This window comes from Homo sapiens, chromosome 18, assembly GCF_000001405.40.
Source record: "Homo sapiens chromosome 18, GRCh38.p14 Primary Assembly".
NCBI classification, from domain to species: Eukaryota; Metazoa; Chordata; class Mammalia; order Primates; family Hominidae; genus Homo; species Homo sapiens.
Window position 1 is genome coordinate 57145550 of NC_000018.10, and position 19514 is coordinate 57165063.

Below are 19514 nucleotides of genomic sequence, written 5' to 3' on the forward strand. Positions count from 1 at the left end.
CACCCTCCTTTCATCTATGCAATCTTTATTCTGCAAATATTAATGGTGCCTCTCTTTTGTTCCAGGCACCATGCTAGGTGTGCATGTTGCATCTAAGTTCCCATGGAGCTTGTGTATGTCCTCAATGGTTTTCTCTGTCAACATCTCCCCTCTCCAACTAGATTGTAAGCTTTTCAAAGGCTGGCCATGTTGCCTGTCTTAAACAACAGCCACAGCAAACATTTATTGAGTGTTAGACTGGGCCAGGCACGTGGAGAGCTCCATAAAGCTTAGCACAGGGCCACATCGACTAGTCCCTCAATAAATATTGATTAATTTAAAAAAATACAGAACTGAATTGTCGAGCTGATCATGGGGATGGTGAGGAGCATAGGTAGGGGGTTGCTGTGGTGAAGTCTTGGTAGGTTCACTGTCTCCTGTGGGATGAGATTCAGAATACGTCCATCTGAGGCATCTGTACTTGTATGTCAGAAGCTATGGGGTGAGGTTATTGACAGAGTCTGTTGTGTAAACTTTCTTTGTGAAATATACTACCTTTAAGCTATGTTACGGCTTATAGAACAATGTGGTGTCTACATCTCAGGGGCATTTTAATTCAGGGAAGTGAGTGTTGGGGTGAAATCAGGGATCTGCTTTTCTTTTGAAATATTGATAGAAGGTTCTTTCTGTGCACCTGCACTTCTCTATTGGATGGCGCTGGATGTGGTTGCCTTTTGTGGCTCTTGGTTGCAATACAGTTCTCTTGTTGAAATGACCTCCTTCTGACTGACACATCTGCCCTAGGCTCATCAATGGCTACCAAAGCCAATGGACACCTTGTGGAACATAGTGTGGCATTTCACCCATGGCCTTCATGAAATGTACCTTTTGCGGTCTATGATCCAAGGCTTTTGTAGTTTTCCCTCCATCTTTTTAGTGTTGTTCTCAGTCCCCCTCATGGGCTCTCCAGGTGTTCCTCTATCTCTTCTAAGTTCTCCATTGTAATTGCCACCTATAGTCTCTACCTTCAGTGAGTTAGATGTCTCTCCCCAGCCCCTAGTCCTTGTATCTTTGGACTTCATAGGCAGATGTCTGCATCTGAATAACCCATACCCATCTTAAACTAGTAAATAAAAATGGAATGCACGATCATGTCTCTGTCTCCCATCCTCACCTCTATACCTGTTCTCCATTTAGTAAATGGCACCTCCATGCACCTGCCCAAGTGAGAAGCCTGGGGGTCATCCTTGACCCTCTCCTTTCCCTCGTCCCTCACCCCGTTGTTCTCCAATCCCTGGGATGAGTCTATCTCCTAAATATCTCTTGTATCCCTGTTACCTTCTTCACCTGCCAGGCCACGAAGATCATTCACTCCTCGCCATCTCCTTCTTAGGGCACTGAAATGGTTGCTGAAATTGTCTCCCTGTTTCGCCCTTGCCCACTGGCATTTGTTTCCCACCTCCCTCTTAGAGATCTTTTAAGAAATGCAGATTACGGTTCCCGCCTCACAATGCAAAGGTCAACGGTGACGCCATCTGGAGCGCGCTTGGAATCCAGCAGGCGGTTGCTGCCGCGTCTTCCACAACCTCCGCGGTCTGGAGCTGGCCTCCCCCACCGCCGCCCCAACCACCGGCCCCGCCGCCATCACCACCACCGTCACCTCCGCCGCTGCCTCCTTGGGGCCCTCCTCCTTCACCGCCCCCTTAGCCACCTCTACACATTCTAGGCTTTCTGTCCTGGAGAAGAAGCTATAATCGGTTTCCTTGTGGGCCCGGTGCGCAGCCATGGCGGACGGTGGCGGCGGCGGCAGCGGCGGTGCGGGCCCGGCCTCGACCCGGGCCAGCGGGGGCGGCGGCCCCATCAACCCGGCCTCGTTGCCCCCTGGCGACCCTCAGCTCATCGCTATCATCGTGGGGCAGCTCAAGAGCAGGGGCCTTTTTGACAGCTTCCGCCGGGACTGCAAGGCTGACGTGGACACCAAGCCAGCTTACCAAAACCTGAGCCAGAAAGCGGATAATTTTGTGTCGACACATCTGGACAAGCAGGAATGGAATCCTCCAGCAAACGACAACCAACTGCACGATGGTCTGAGGCAGAGTGTGGTTCAGTCAGGGAGGTCAGAAGCTGGAGTGGACAGGATTAGTTCTCAGGTGGTGGATCCAAAACTAAACCACATCTTCAGGCCACAAATAGAACAAATAATTCATGAATTCCTGGTGGCCCAGAAAGAAGCAGCTGTGCCAGCACTCCCTCCAGAGCCAGAAGGCCAGGACCCTCCAGCTCCGTCTCAGGACACTTCCTAAGAATATGCCTGACAGCTTTTGAAAGCGCTATTTAATTTTTGGTGAAGAAATGGATTCGGTTACATAAGAGTGCAGTTTCAGATTGAAGATAAGCCAAGTTCATCACTGAGCTCAAGATTTCCACCTCGACCATGAGCAGTGACCAGATTGAAAGGGAAGCAAGTTCGCCAGAGAGAAAGTTGACCGTGGCACCCTCCTGCATTGCGCTGCCATTTGGCCAGCCTTTCCAAGGGCATGACACCAAACACACACTACAGAGAGGGAAACACTACCGCGACCCAGGATTGTCCTGAAACAGACATCTATACTTGAACATGGAGACTGCACATGGATTTTAGGGTTTGTGCTCTGAGATAAACGAAAGCTACAGCGAGAGAACATAACCAATCCCAAAGACAATTTCAAAGAACAATGACAGTAAAGGTTAACTGGGAGGAATATTTGACAGTACTTATTTGATATTGTCTCTCAGAGTTGCAAACTAGATTGTACACAACATTAGTGTCAGATAGCTTTGAAGTTGTGACCTTCTTGTACATGAATCTTCTAGCCAGTTTCCTTTCCTTTGTAAGAGATAACAAAGCATGAAACCCTAGAATGAGTGAGAAGTTCAGACATTAGGTATAAGGAAACTCATTTGCAGACTCTCTGTCCAAGAATGCTTCCTGTCTTGCAGGGGCTAGTGAGTCTTGGGTGTGTTTATGTTATGCTCACATTTGTGTTTTATTTGAAAAGTGGATGGTCAATAAATGGCTTATCTTTCAACTGCAACAACAAAAAAGAAATGCAGATTTACATCCTTTTCCTCTTTAAGCTCCGTCAGTTTTCTGATATTTCTAGAAGGTCAGACACCTGGCATGGTTTATGAGGCCCGTGATAATGGGGCCCCTGGTCACCTCTGCTGCCCCGTACACTGTCATTTCTCATATGACAACCATGCCCATGACTATCCTGGACACCCTGTGTTCCCTCTGCTCACTGTGAAGGGAATGCCCTCAACCACTCCTACCCTCCTTTAAGACTCAGCTCCTGAGGAGCCACACATCGTCTAAGCAGGAGTGACAGACTCCTTCCTCTGTGCTCCCATAGATCTCATAAGGGATGACCACACTTACTATAGTAGCTAGGTCTGACGAAGCACTTGCTCTATTGCTCTACAGCTGGCAGTGTACTAAACGCTTAACTTCGCTTACCGTAGTAAGTCCTCATGATCTAATTGAAGAAATCGTATCTTTATTCCCATTTTTATTCCCATTTATAAATGTAGAAACCAAAGCTCAGACACTGCCTAAGTGGTGGGGCTGGGGCTGAGCCTGTATTGAGCACAGAGCCCTCACTTTTAACCCTTTTAACCATGCTTTTAGCCACACCACCTCACCACAGTGAACTGTCTTTGCTTACAGATCTGTCATCCCCACTTAAATGTGAGCTTCCTCCAGGGCAGGGATTTGCTTTGTTCATTTCTTTTCCTTAACCCCAGGACCTAGCACATCACAGGAGCTCAGCAATTTGTAGAAAGAAACCAGTTCTGGATTTGTCTTTTCCAACATTTAATTTCTCAGATGGCAGTATTTATCATCTAAAAAGTGAACAAAAATTAATTTTGCATCTAGTGTCTACATGTCTAAGCAAGAAAGAGCTTTCTTATCCCTGGAGGTATTTTATCTGTAATGTTTACCTATGAGCTATTTTAAATGATTCTTCAAAATTTAGAGTCCAGAAGGTAGAAGACCATGTCCTTTCTGAAAATGTCCCTTCCTTTCCCAGGTACCAGGCTCTTTTTAAAATTAGCTTCTGAATATGAACAACCCAGCTCTTTAAAGTTTAATGTCCCAGCCATTTTAATTGTTTCTTTCGAAGTACAAAAGAGCAGCTGGGCCACATCGGCACTAATCACTTGCCAACTTTCCTTTTTACAAAAACAGCTAAGCTCTTTCTGAGATTTAAAATCACTCCATCTGAGACCCCAGCTTGGCACCTATCTTTGCACTAACATAAAAGGAACCTAATTTCTGCTTTTAAGAAATGTGTTGCGGAAGTGATTTTTGGTTTGGGGTTTGTTCTCCTTCTTCTTTTTAAAAATAACGTAATAAAGTGTAATACAACTTTTAAAGTTTTTTTTTTCCTTTACCAGTTCTCTATTCTCCTTTTCTACTTGAATTGTCCTGAGACAGGTTGCCAGATAAAATACAGGTTGCTCAGCAAATGTGAATTTCAGAGAAACAACAGATACTCTCCTAGGGCATGGACCGTGCAATATTTGAAACATACTTGTATTAAAAAGTTATTTGTTGTTTATTTGAAATTCAAATTTACTGGGGCCCCATGCTTTAGTTTGCCAAATCTGCCAACCATAGCCTGAATGCTTCCCGTTCCCACCATGAGTTTGGCAAATGGAAAATGCTAACCTATGCGATGGACACTGCTGTATTCTGAAAATGAATATGTAAATAAATCAAACTACCGTGACTTGAGAGAGCTCATTACGTGCGTGCGTGCATGCCTGCCCACTGGTCCCTGCTAAATAATTCCCTTCTTGCAATCCAGAAGGATAAATAAATGTAATTTCTGGAATTCTATACATTCTTATCAATGAACTACAAGTATTTATTGAAAATGTCTATGTTTTGGGAAGACTTGGAGTCCAAAGGGGTAGGCGATACAGTCACTATCCCCAGAGTCACAGTTTAGTTTCATGAAGCAAGAAAGAAAATGATTTTAGTTGTAATCCTAATAATGAGTAAAGAGAGTTTCAGGGAAGGAATACAGCAGTAGACACCAGTGAGATAGAAAGAGCACGACAGAGAGAGACAGACAGAGGGAAAGAGACAGAGAAACAGAAATACAGAGACAAAGAAGAAACAGAGAAAAAGGGAGGGAGAGAGACAGAGACAAAGATATAGACAAACAGAGACAGAAAGAGGCAGAGAAGCAGATACAGAGAGAGAGAAACAGGGGCAGAGAGACTGAAAAAGAGACAGAGAGATGTGCGTGTTTCCTTTTTAAGCTGCAGGGTGACTCTTCCATTCCCCCTTCCTCCTCCCCCACTCAGATCTCTGGGCTGGGTGGGTCCTGGGGTCTGGGCGGAGTCAGCACCTGTCACAGGCACGCCCCCTGGGGCACCATTTGGCCCTGGGTCTGAAATTGATTCTTTCTGGATTTCAGGGCAGCAGCAGCAGGCAAGAGCTCGGCTGTCACTTCCAAGACTTTTATAGACTCTGACAGCAACGCTGCTCCTTGTCTTTTGTCTTTTGTATTCTGTTTGTGTTCAGCCTCTAATCCACGTGGGGAATAACATGCGGGCCTGCAGGGGAGGGCCTGCCTGTGGGCCATGTGCCAGCAGGACAATCTGCGGAGACTGGGAGGCCAGCTCCCCTCCCAGGCTTCCTTTTTGATTCACACACGTGCTCTGGGATCTCCTTTGCAGGAAATGATTTCTGGGCCCACCTCCTGGCAACTTGGAGGGCAAGGACCCTGCACCCCAGGCACTTCTAGGCTTGGGAAAATAAGTATCTAAGATAGGCAGGCCAGTGTAGAATGAGAGTTACAGAGGTGAGTACATGTGGCTTCATAGCAGGGAGTGTTTCCTAGGACTGAAGTGTCTTTGGGGTCTTTGAAGAGGAGAGATGTGAGTAGCACCTGGAAAGAAAGGATAGGCTAAGCTGGGATGGTGCCCCCAAAAGGCAAGGCCAAAGGAAGGCGCAGGAGAGAGGGTTGGGAATGGCAGGAGTGGCTGGCGGCAGGGAGCAAGTGGTTGGAGAATCTTCACACTCTGATTTGAATGGTTCCCCATGCAGGAAACCAGGGTGCACCTGAGGTTGAGGACTTCTCAAACTTGAGTGAGCATCAAGGTTAACCAGAGGGTGGTACTGATTGAAATACACATTACTGGGCCCACCCTTAGAGTTTCTGATGCAGTGGGTCTGGGGTGAGGCCTGAGACTCTGCATTTCTAACAAGGTTCCCAGTGATGCTGGTGCTGCTGCCCCAGGCAACCACACCTTGAGAACCATTGTGTAGCGGGCACTGCCCGGAAACCCAGAACCGCTTCCCTCTGCATCCATTCCCTCTCCACTTCCTGGAACTGGCTGTTTTCCAGATTCTTACTAAACACAATAGGTGATGTTGACTAATTACCCATTTTTGTTTTGTTTTGTTGGGCAGGAAGAGAGGAGGAAGAAGATAAATTTACCAGGTTTCTTTTTCCATCTACTCAATCTTTGGAATTTCAGTTATCATTTCTTGGGTACTCTTCCCACCCCTACTGCCAATCCACAGATAATTACGAACAGCCAGCAGGTCTAAATCACTGCACTCGTCTCTCCTCTTCTTTGCCCCTCCAGTGAATGCGCCAACAATGAGTGGTGACAGCAGATTTGGGCAGTTTCTAGGAAGCCTGATGGTTAAGCACATTCTTTCTGTTCCCCATCCCTCGGTGTGACTCAAAATCACAGAATCAGAAGAGGGAGAATGGGATTCTATTCAGATTGCAGCTTTAGCTCCATCATTGGTTGTGGGCAGCTATAGGTATAAGGGGTAGGCTCTATGACTGAGAAAATGAATGTCATTCAATGAGGGTCTCACTAGACCAAGGGGCAGTGGTGTGCGATCCAGCTGGAGCCCGTGTGGAAGGAGTTTGTGTTGCTGACTGGTGAGTGCCCATTGAAGAGTTGCCTGCTCAGTGATGTTTCAGTTGCATATTTCTTGCTGCTTCCTCTAAATTGTTTTTTTAAATCCTAGTCGTAAAAATCATCCTACCTCAAAAATATTAAACAGGTGCCAAAAATGGGGAACAATCACATGCCTTCTATTTTGGACAGCATGGAAGAGGAATTTTCCCCACTTTCCACAGCAGAGCATTTGAGCTGGAGCACCATTGCATGGTCTGGTAACCACCAGCTGTGGCTGTGCATGAACACAACTAATCTGGCCTAAGAGGAGACCAAGAAAAGGGAAGCAATATTATTAGAAGTGGTATGAGAAGAGAGGCGGGAAGATCTCTGGGAGGTATCAGGAGTGCCATGGGCTGAGATGGGAAGGGGTTGGCAACCTACAGAGTATGGGCATGGAAGTCAGTTATCCAACGCTCTCTACTCTCAGGCCACATTCACAGTCCTCCCCAAGGCAAGCCAGGACAGACTCTGTAGAGCATCTCTGAAACCCCACCCAACTAGGAAGAAAGAAATCCCTCGCACGAAGAGTTCCAGTGATTTAATACGCACAGTAGGTTGCAGCTTAGCTCTCTTCGCCCTCAGCTCCCACTAAGATTTTTCTCTCCCTTGCCCACTCTTCTCCTTCGTTCCTCCCTGGTCCTTGATCTCTCAAGGCAGGCAGCCTCCTGCTCTCTGGAGAGCTAGTAGCTGGGCTGTGAATGGGTTTGTGAGAACACGATTTCCTTCAGGATGGAAACAGATGATTTCCAGGTTTCTGGATTGTGGTGCTGTTGCACAGATCCTCTTTTTACATTCCTGTCCTGGACTGTAGATGGAACATAGGCTGAACGTGAATGGCAGGGAGTCAGTGGCATCCTCAACATGGGAAGAGCCCTGTGCTGGGAGGCTGGAGACCTTGGCTCTGGTCACGGCCATCTACATAACCTGCCTGGGACCTTTGGCTGCCAACGTAGCCTCCTGGGCCTCAGTTTCGTCATCCTCCTGAAATGCTCACCTATGGCGCCCGCAGCAAAGAAGGCAACAGTTTTAAGATTCAACTTCTGAAATCCCCTATTGTGACCTGGAAGGGCTAGGTGAGGCCTTGGGCCCTCTCTTAGGAGCTCATGTTGATTCCTTAAGTTAGTTCATTGTATCCTGACACTGAAGGGATGAGATCAACCAGTGCGTGGGTTGTAATGGCTGCATGTCCTCTTAAGAGGCCAGAGGATGGAGGCTAGTCGGGTGCTGGGGGATCAGGAAGCGCCAGAGGCTGCGTTGAGGAAGGAGGTGCTGGATGGTCAGGGGACTTAGCACCTCTCCCTCCTCCCTCGTGGCTCCCACAAAATACCACCCTCCACCTGAGAAATGTCTACCCCAGAGAATGCATTGATTCCGAAATACTCTATTTCATTGTTTTTATTTGTCAGCATACCAAACAGACGACCATACTGAGTGAGAAAATAATTCCAGGCAAAGTTAAAAATACTTTTGGGGGTTAGCCTATACAGCTTATTGTGGATAAATATATTTCTTTTTCCCTTTTCAAGGATTGGAAATAGGCCATGGACTCCGGCTTTTGGGCCCATCCAGGGTCTGGGAAGCTCAGGTTGGGAGGATAAATTTCTAGATGAAAAGCAGGAGGAGGGCTCCAGAGTAGAGAATGGTGGATTCTCATTTGGGGGCTCCTGCACCCATGGCTCACCTCTCTAGAGGCCTGTCCCCATTGTTGGTGCAGGGAGCGGTGGTCTGTGCAGGGCCACCACGCAGGGGCCCTTTGAGTAGTGGGCTTCCAGGCAGCCCTCCCTACTCTGGCACTTCCTACTTCAGCTGGTTCTTGGAACACAGCCCTTCTCTCCAGATCTCTGACATAGGCTAATTGCTTGTAACAAAACTTGGCCTTAGAAATGTCAGGCATAATGGGAAGGGGGAGGAGGAAGAAGAAGAGAATCAAAAACAACAAGAGGAATTTGGCAGAAGCCACCGCAGAGGGTGCAGCCTCTGTGGCTCCCAGGGCCGGCCAGGTTCATTAACGGATGTGGATTTAGAAGGTCACCACCTTGTACAGGCAGTTGCTCCAGCCCGGCAGACGCCAGGTAGCTAGCTGTCATGAGAACACCTTGGAAAGGGAAAGGAAGTGTCAGTGGGCCTCACAGCACTTCAGAGCCGCTCCGGGGCCTGGCCGAGGCTCCTGCCCTCCTCCAAATAGCAAAGTCAAACATTTATTAAGCCAGTTCCTTCCAGTCCGCTGGGCCCATTGCTGACAGGAGGGAGGTTCCTTCGAAAGCCTGGCCTTGACTCAGGAAGGCCATGGGGGCACTCTCGTGACCTCTTACCTCCTGCTGTGGCTGCTCTGGGGGGCACAGGACTGGCAGCTGAGAAAGGACAAGTGTGACCTTGGGTCTGCCCCCCAGACATGTTATTTTCAGTACTTTACTGATCTCTGTTTTTAGATCCTTGTTTTCACAGTCGTCCAAAAATCGGACAAAGCTGATTCTCACTAAAGCATTAATAACAATGGGACTTGGCTTCTGGAGTCTGTGCATTTTCAGTAGAAAGACCTGGCCAGGGGCACTGCCCCAGGCAAGGGGAAGCTGGGGCTTCTTGGCTCAGCCTCAGCTTCTTCCTTGGCTTTTCTGCCCCTTCTGCAGTGAGCCCAGCCCAACGCTAGCCCTGTGGGCTCTATGAGGCCCCAAGCTGGACCAGAGGGTGTGTGCATTGCGGGGGACTGGGAGGAGTCTGATTCTCCCCGTGCAGATGTCAAAGTCAAACATTTCTGAGGTCAGTTCTTTGCCCCTTTGCTGAAACCCTATTGTGTGTTCGGAGTCAGATCCTTGGCACACAGCTAAACCCACCCAGCTTGTATGCTGCGGTTCTGGGTGGATGGTGTGGAGATTCAAGGCCAGGCTGCCTGGGTTTTCTTTCTATCCCTGCCACCTCCCAGCTGGGCAAGTCACCTTCCCTCTTTATGCCTCAGTGTCCTCGCCTGTAAAATGGCGAGTACGTACCCACCTCGTGGAGTTATGATGAAGATTAAATGAGATGTGAAACACTGAAGAACAGGGTCTGGCACCAGCAAGTGTGATAGAAGAGTTTATTAGTAGTGTACATTGCTAATTGTCTGAAATCTTTGCACTCCAATTATTAAGGGCAGCTCTCCTTTCCCTGAAAACCCACTCTTAGGAGAGGACCTGATTGCACAGCATCATCCGGTGGGGATTTATTGAGCATCTACTGTGTGGTGTTAGGTGCAATGTACACAAAAAAGGGCAAGGCCTCCACAGATGCCAGCCTTCCAGCTTCCTTGATGGAAGCAGGCTTCGCACTCGGCTTCCAGCCAGCATGTGTTTGGAGAGCTCCCTGGGTGGTGAACAGGGCTGGGGCAGCCACAGGCTAGGAATGGGTGGAGGGCTCGGTCCTGGCTGCTGTCAGGTGCTGGAGCCGGGCACTCCTCAGGATAAAAGTTGCTTTTTAAGGGTGAAAGAGACATATCAACTAAATTCAATATGTAGACTTTATTTGGATCTTGTTTTGAACAAACCAATCATAAAACCACATTTTTCAGATAACTGGGAAAATTTGATCACAGAAGGGTTGTTAGGTGTGACAGTGGTATTGTGGTTGTGTTTCAACAAGTCTTTCTTGATAAGAGAGACACTTTTAAGTGTTTATAGATGAAATAACACAATGTCTGCAATTTGCTTTAAAATACTTCAGTGGGGTTGAGAGGAGGAAGGATGTGGCCAGACTGATCAAACGTGGATAATTGTTGAAGCTGGGTAACGCTGCAGGGGGATTTGTATCACAATTCCATTTTTGTGTCTTTGAGAATTTCCATAATAAAAAGTTAAAAATAAAAACACAATGGAGATGCAGCTGCTTTGGTCCAAGCAGGGCCCCATGTGACCCTCAAGCCTCATGGGTGGGCAAAGTCACCTGTTCCTTATACTTGTGGCCCCAGCCTAACCTCCTCCTCTTTGTCCTTACAGTGAGTGCACACTTCAACAGTGAAACTGGTGGCTATGGAGGCAGGAATTCAGATTTTTGAAGGAGATCTGCAAGGAAAACCTGGGATGGGGAGGGTCCCATCTTCAGGCTGAGCTCCCCAGGCTGTGTGAGGCCTTCACTCTTGCCCCACTGACCTGGCACTACAAAGACTATCTGGGCCAAGGAATTGCTCTTTCACAGCCTTAGGCACATGCGAGGAAAGGCTTCTACTGCCTTAAAGGCCCCTGGGTCCCTCACCTCTGTCACTGTGCCATTTTCTCTAGAAAAGCCTATCACCGGAGTGGCGGGCAGTCCCATCCAAGCCCCAGGGAGGTCCTCCAGGCTTCCTTGCTGGAGGGATCCTTTTCCTGAATGTCTGGAGATCTCTATTGCTTTGGAAGTATCTACCTGCATATCTTAGATGCTGGCTCACACCCCCAGAACATCTCTAGAAAGTTACTGGAGATCTCTGTTCTTCTCCTTCTCTCCTTCTCTGAGCCTACTCCGCACACTCCCATTTCAGAGCTTGGGAGAGCGGGCAATGTTTACCACTGTGCACAAGAAAACCCTACTGGGTTGAGGTGGACTGGATGATCCATCTCAGAGGATTAGAGGTCTCCAAGCCAATACTACTATTAGGATTTGGAGGCACTCTTCTGTGACCTGATTTGTGTCATCCTGGACAATTCCTTCTACCTCTTTTGAATCCAACTGCTCTCCTTTGAAGGACTGGAGTGATAGGAGATCTGGCTGCAGGACTCTGACTGGTGGCCAGGAATCCTTATTCCCATGGTCCTTCAAGACTGAGAGTTGAATGGTGCCCAGGTTAATGCTGCACCTCATACCCATGGCGAAAGGAGATGTGGGTTTTGATCAGATCTGCTAGAGTCTGCATTCCAAAACCTTCCTAACAATCCTCTTGATGTCAACAAATCAATCAGCAAGGATCGGTTAAGCCAGCTGCTCCCCAGGCAGCTATATTTCTTGCCGTTTGGAATCTTATTCTGTCTACCTATAATTCTGGTTTCTCATGTCATGCTAGCGGCAAGTGGAGGAGGGGGGCATGGATAGGAGGGAATTGAAGGTTGTCTGGCTGGAGCCCTTCCTAAGCAGTTGCTGGCAGTCTAGCCCAGGTCCCTCTGGCATTGGTTGTGTGTTCCCTTTGGTGTCTGGCAGAGTCACTACCCATAACCAGTTTGGTGTGGGGGTTACAAGGACTGCTGTGGAGCCTCTGGGGTCAGGACGCTTGGAGCCCACTCCCAGCTCAGCTGTTGACTAAGGTTCTACGTGCTATGGCTGCCATTTAACCTTTCTGGGCCTCAGTTTTCCCATTTGTGAAGTGAGGATAATAACATCCCCTACCTCAGAAAGTTTTTTGATAAGAATTAAATGAGTCAAGCTCTCAGAAAACTGCCTGGCATGAGATAAGGGCTCAAAATCTCTCAGTTGGGGTTACGACTGCTCACTTGCTGCCTCCCTCATGCCCTGTGACTTCTGACTAACTGTCTCCAGCAGGTGAGATTGTGATGGGAGTGGAGGGTGCAGAGTTATTGCATGGTGGGAGAAAAGAGAAAGCAGTGTTAGTTATTTTATTAGATCGCAAGACAGGAAAGAAGCCTGCATCCTGAGTTCTACCCAACACCCCTGGGAGCAGCCCATCCCTGCATCTCTCCTTGGCCACAGTCCTAGGGCCATGTTCAGGGCAGGTCAGCTCTTTCTGCTGACTTCTGTATTAGGTCCCTCACCTAGCTACTGCCACTTAACTTTTTCCTTGGCAATTAACCCAAGAAAACTGCCTGGGAGGGGAATTTGTTTCCTTGAATGCCACATTTGCTAGGTGTCTATTTTGTGCTCCCACTTGGCCAGGTTCTGGGGACCCGTGAATGCATAAGACAGAGACCCAAAGTCTCCCCAGGCCTCAAAGTCTACCGGCCCCATAGCTCTCATCCTCCAGCCTCACCCTCTCCAACCCAGACATGCACCAAGCACCCTCAGAGCCTTCACCCCTTCTCTCCCCTGAGCTCAGAGCCCTCTCCCCAACCACATAGATACACACGACTCCCTCCCTGGCTTCCTGCAGGTCTGTGTATGAAAGTCACCTCCTCAGAGAAGCCTTCTCTGATTTCACTCTTTAAATCAACCCTCCACAATCTGGTCTGGTCCCTGCCTTTTGGTCTTCATGGAGCTCATCACTCACTACTTGACATTCCGTTATCTATTCATGGGATTTGCTTTTTATTTGTCTCTCCCAGAATTGAATAGATATCAGATATTCTTAACATTTTTGTGCTCCATGACCCCATTGATAGTCTGGGGGTCTGCAGATCATCCCTTTTCACAGTAAGGTTTTATAAATACATAAGACAAAACACATAGTATCACAAAAGAAACCAACTATATTGAAATATGGTTATCAAAATGTAAAAGAAATCTCAAATTTATGATACAAGGATTACATATGCTTATTTGTTAATACATAAAATAAGAGAATCTAAAACTGGCCTCCCAATTTCTACTTTTAAGGTAATGCTATTTCCAATAAATATTTCTAAACCTATAAAAGAACTATAATGTGATATGACAAGACTGATTTTTATTAATAACAAAGCCACAGGCACTGCTAATACTATTGTGGTTTGTTGCCTAAATTCATAATTGAAGAAAAATGCTACATTTTTGCAAGTGTAGTGAAAATGAAACTGCATTTTCTGCCCCACTCAAGTTCAAGATTCCCTTGAGTTCTTCAGGTCAGGTTGAGCTCTTTAGGCCACAGGTATTGTTTTCTCTCCTGCTAGCACCAAAAACCATGCCTGGAACATCACCGGTGCTCAATAAATATTTCTGGATGTTACAATCTGGTAGTTAAAGGGTTAAAATTCGTTCCCCAATTTTCACATTCATTTTAATAATAAAATGATAACAATAGGTACTATGCAATGATTGCTTTCTGTATACCAGACCCTCCTTTATAAACATTATCTCATTTAATTCTTCTAATAACCCTGCAGTGTGTACTATTAATACTTTCATTCTGTGGGTATAGAAACTGAGACAAAGTTTAAGCAATCTGTCAAGGCCACACAGCTTATATTAGGACTCAGATCTGTCTGTTTTCTTAAACTATTAAGGGTAGCTTCCTGTGAGGGTCTCAGCCTCCAGGACTGGCCCACAGTTCCAACAGGCCCTTCCCTGGTCAACTTCATTGGGTAGAATTCACACCAGCTCTCTTCTACCCTGGTCCTCTTATGCTACCTGTGGTGCCAGCTGGGAGATCTTAACCACTCACCCAGCTTAACACAACTACCTAAAAGCTAATGACTCCCAGGCTGGTATTACCAGGATCAATTTCTCTTCTGCTCTCCAAATCTTAATGTCCACTCTCCCATTGAATTCCTTTGTCTAGATGGTCTTCATGCCTTTCTACATTAATGTAAGAGTCACCTTCACCACAAAGACTTTCCTGACTTTTCTCAGGTAGATCTGCCACATTGTGTCCCCATTGTTTTCTGCACACACCCTACCACTACTCCAGTAATATTGTATTTGTTTACATACCCTCCTCTCTTTACCATTCTGGCAGCTCCTTGATAACAGAGACTATTTCCATTTTGTCTCTAAATCCCTAGGACATAGTGCAATGTCTGACATAGTAGGAAAGTGTGAATGCTTGTTGAATGGGCAAATAGATGAATGAATGAATGAATTATATGCACCAATCATAGTCAACATTTGGCTGTTGTGTTCATTATTAATTGCATATAACCAAGTGTCCAATACCGTTATGTGGCCCAAGAGAAATAGATTTTGAAGATGCAGAAACAGGTTCCACTTTATTTCCAAACCTGAAGTTAACCTGCAAGAAAAGTATCTAGAACTAGATCACAACAGGGTAAAATATCTATTTGTTTCAGTTCCTCAAATCAATTCAAACCCCGTTAATACTTAATTTAATTCACTGGCTTTTTTAACAAAGAACATTAACAGATATGTTATTAAGCTGTGGGGTCATTCATAATTGGTCATCTCTCTGTGAATTAAATTTTAAAAAGGAAAAGTAAAATCAAAGAATAATCAGATTTCCTATTTATGCAGGGCAACTAAGTTAAATTATATTTACTTTCTAAAAATAGATTATTTTCTTAAGAAACAAACATTTATTTTGATCTCAAGTGATCTCAATATATCTTATATAGAGTTAACAAATACATTCCAGGTAATAGTATTATAGACTTAATAGATTTAGCATGCATTTAATGATGTTTGAGTGTAGAGCACTGAGCTGAGACCTGAAGGAAAACAAAGATAGATTGAACACCGCCTCTTCCCTAAAAAGGAGCCTGGAAACAATAGAAGGGTGTAAGCCTCGAGGGATGGGCTGAGCTAAGCTGACGATGGAACTTATGCTTCAAGATATCAAGTACTGAGGCATTTTGAAGTCTTGGTCTAGTGGCATGTCTAATGGTGGAGAGGCCTCTTGGGTCTGCAGAGAAAGCAGGATGTGGGATAAAAGGCCACTTTAAAACCACACTTTCCTTATTAATTGCCAGCAGTGATGGGAACCTCGAGTGTGCCCCTATCGCCAGCTGCCATAAACAATACTGTGGTGAGCATGTGATGACTCTCAATCCAATGACTAGTGTTCTTATAAAGAGAGAAGAGGACACAGAGGTGTGAAGACAGAGGCAGGTGATGAATTGCTAGGAGCCGCCAAAAGCTGGAAGACGCAGGGAAGATTTCTTCCTAACATGTAAACAGCACCAAAGGGATGGTGCTAAACCATTAATGAGAAATTTCCCCCATGATCCAATCACTCCCTCCAGGCCCCACCTCCAATATTCGGGATTATAATTCGACATGAGATTGGGAAAGGGACACAGATCCAAACTATAGCAAGTATTGAAGAATTGGGGATCATATTTTAAAAACACCACAGTCAGGATACCTGTCTTGGGTCCCTTTTCGCAATTAGTTGTGTCTTCTTGAAAGAAGACCTTTACCTTGCTGGTTCTAGGTTTTTTGCAAAGAAGATGAGGATATTGGGCCACATGGCTATCTAAGGATCTCTGATTCAATGTCCACACATCACCACAGTGTTTAGGTATAGGAAAACTCTGCTGTAAGAGTTGTTTTAGCTTGTCAGTGGTTATATTGTATCGAGATCCCTTCACACATGGCCGAATCCATGTCCTTGTGGAGCTTATTTAGCTCGGCTGCAGTTTTAGGTCTATTTCAGATATCCCCCTGAATTCTGAAGGGGGCGGGGGAGGCTAACTCCCCCGCTGGGATGCAGGCTCCGTTGTGCTGCCATCCCCTCCCTTGGGCTGCCTTGCACAAGGACTCAATCATGGAGTAGCTTGCTCAGAATCTGAAAGAGTAGCTGCTTTCCTGTTCCATTAGCTTCTTCTCCAAGATCTGTCTAAGAGAGCATAAAATATCTTCAAGTTAGGGAAGGGTATAGACAAGAGATGGAGGGATTTGCTCAGTACCTTTTATTTCCTCACTACAGCAGATGGAAGAGATGCTGCTGCTTCTGCCTTGTGATGCTAGAGGAACCAGGGAGATCAGGGAGGTTACTCCCTCACACCAAAACCTGGAACACAAGATGAGAAACTCTTATCAAGACCTAATGTACACCTGTAAGATGAGATATGAAAATGAAGCACCTCCTAAACTACCAAGAGCAGGTGGATTAACTTGGATGTGATTGCAGAATCCACATGACAGATTCTATGCCTAACCATGATATAGGCTCAGAGTCATTTTCATTTTTTTCCAATGGATGTTTGCAGGGCCCTCCTTCAGAGAGGGGTGATCAGAGGAGACAGGAAGAATAAGCTACGGAGAAGTGCTGACCTTGTTTATTGAGGAATTTCTGAGTGTACCGGAGGAATCACAACCCAGGGAGAAGTCAGACAGACATCTCAGAAAAAGAATGCTAACCAAAACAAGAAGGTTTTTACTGATCCTCTTCAATTCTCACTTGGATGTATAACTGTATCACTTACAAGTTCATCTTTTTTTACATAATAGATGAGTTCCAAAGAACTACTATGTAGAAATATTTTTCTAAGTATTTTATAACATTTTAATGTGCAATGAAAAGTGCTTATTTTAAAAAGGATTACTTGGTGCTGTTCTCATGATAGTAAGTGAGCTCTCTTGAGATCTTTTTGTTTAAAAGTGTGTGGCGCCTCCACTCTCTCTCTCTTGCCCCTCCTCCTACCACATGACAGTGCTTGTTCCCGCTCGCCTTCTGCCTTGATTGTAAGTTTCCTGAGGCCTCCCCAGAGGCCGAGCCGATGCCAGTATCATGCTTCCCATACAGCCTGCAGAACCGTGACCCAATTAAACCTCTTTTCTTTATAAATTATCCAATCTCAGGTATGTCTTTATAGCAATGTGAACTCTCTTATTGAGAAGACATCTGTGTCCCTTCTCCTTGAATCTGGGCTCTGTGATTGATTGACCAATGGTATATGACAGAATTGACAGCATAGTAGGTTCCCAACCCAGGACTTTAAGAAACTGGGAGCTGCCACTTTCTGTCTCTTAGAACTCTTATTAGTGGAACCCAGCAACCATGCTGTGAGGAAGCCCAAGCAGCCCATGGAGAAGCTAATGTGGAGAGGAATTAATGTCCTTAGTTTTCAGCCCCCAGCTGAGCTCCCAGGCAATAGCAAGTCCCAATTTATCAGCCATGTGAGCAAGCCATTTTGGAAGTGAATCTTTCAGCTCCACTTCACCCCAGTCCCACTTCATTCCAGCCCCAGTTGGTGCTTCATGGAGCAGAGGTGGGCCTTCCCTGCTAACCTCTGTTCAAATTGCAGATTGGTGAGTTAAATAAATGTTTACTTTTAGTCATTTAATGGTTTTAAGCCACCAACTTTTGGGGTAATTTGTTCCATAGCAATAAATGACTACAGTACTTTCTGTCCAATATACTCCCTATTATACCATCAACCGACATCTTCTTGGGAACGGGAGATGGGACAAGTGGGTGAAATACTACATCAATGTTTCTCACACTTAGCCAGATATCAGAATGACCTGGAAAGTTGTTAAAAATGCAAATCTCCTATTTCAGTAGATCTTGGGTAGGTACAGAAACCTGCATTTTTAACAAGTGTTCCAATTGTCCAAGAATACTGTATTGTCACAGGTTAATTAAATTATGGTTACTCTAATAGAAGAACAAGTTCATTGGCTCGAAACACTTTAGGAAAATTACAACTGTCCTTCTGCTCTACCTTCTTTCATACCTTTATCATTTTGTAATTTGAAAGAGAATGGTATTCTAGCCTCCTAGAAAGAAGAACAAAATATTACATTAATCCGCTTAGTCATATTAGCTAAACTCCATAGCTTTGGAGTTGAGAGGCCATTTGCCTTAAAGTTCTGCTGTTCAAATTCTGCATGCTCAGGGCTTCCAGCCTACAACTCTGCCCTGTGTCCTCTCAGCTGCCTGTCACTTACTGGAGACAGACGCAGGGTGGTAGGAGCACATACCTAGGAACCAGACAAACCTGGGTTCAAAGCCTAGGGGGCTTCTTGTTAGGTGTGTGACGTTTAGCAAGTTATCTTTCTAAGTCTCCGATTACTCATCTATAAGATGATAATAATCATGTTGCCTATCTCACAGGATTGCTGTGAGGATTAAATGACCACTATACATTAAGTGCTCAGTACAATGCCTGGCACACAGTAATGGCTCAATAGATATGTCCAACAAAAGATAAATACACATCATGAGTGTCACCCACTACCTACATTTATACCTGGAGATGGGAAAATGGATAAAATCAGTGGTAACCCCACATTGATATGAGCCAGAGTCAAATCACTAGGGCATATTTTAAAAACACAGATTTCGAGACCCCAGTCTCACTGACTCTGGGTCAGTAGATGCGCATGAGCCCAAGAATTTGTGCAAATAATTAGAAGGAAGCATCAGGTTTGGGATCCAGTAGAGCACTCAGATTTTTTTGCTCTGGACCATGCTGAAGACCAGTTCATCAAAATCGTCTGTGAGATATTGCTCCACGCCAGCATATTTCCCTGCATTTTATGCACCCCAGCTGCAACAACGAGGCTACCATGCTGCTTGACAGACTTGAATGACACAGGCCTCCATGGGTTAGTACTGTTTTTAGCTTCCAAGGAGACTGATTCTCTAGTCTTTCCAGGACAAGGAGTGAGGAAAGCCCCGGGCACCTTGGCTTCCTTAACTTCTCCCAAAGCTTCACATTCGCCACCTTCACACTTGACCCTGCTCTCTACCCACAGAATAAAAGTAGATGTCACTACCCGAGATTTTAATTAATCATCTTTCTATTTTTTTTTCCTTTTGGGTTAGACTCCTAAGTGTCTATCATGTTGATAGCACTCTGGGGAGTCTTTTGTTCTGAATAGGGGAAAAATTGTACCCACAAAAAGAGTTCCCCATCAGATCAATTCTAACAACTTTATTGATTAGCTGCAGGAACATTTTTCATTTATTAATTATGAGGAAGATGTTTCAGGGATTCCTTAAAGTTAACTATTGTGATTTTTTTTAAATACTGAATTAACATTGACTGACTTGACTCAAACTGCTTAAC

The 19514-nt window shown here is 45.6% G+C and overlaps 1 protein-coding gene across 1 annotated transcript, besides 1 other annotated feature; it reads left to right on the plus strand.

The window, feature by feature from the left end:
- Positions 1-1537: 1537 nt before the first annotated feature.
- BOD1L2 (biorientation of chromosomes in cell division 1 like 2) lies at positions 1538-4861 on the plus strand. Its single transcript, NM_001257964.2, has one exon. The coding sequence runs from the start codon at positions 1764-1766 to the stop codon at positions 2280-2282; it is 519 nt and encodes a 172-aa protein (NP_001244893.1). The 5' UTR covers positions 1538-1763; the 3' UTR covers positions 2283-4861.
- Positions 1707-2302: an enhancer, noted in NCBI's record as "H3K27ac-H3K4me1 hESC enhancer chr18:54814487-54815082 (GRCh37/hg19 assembly coordinates)". NCBI's record gives its function as "activates a minimal SCP1, AML or CMV promoter by ChIP-STARR-seq in primed H9 embryonic stem cells {active_cell/tissue: H9 hESC(primed)}" and the evidence as "EXISTENCE:reporter gene assay evidence [ECO:0000049][PMID:30033119]".
- Positions 4862-19514: the final 14653 nt, after the last annotated feature.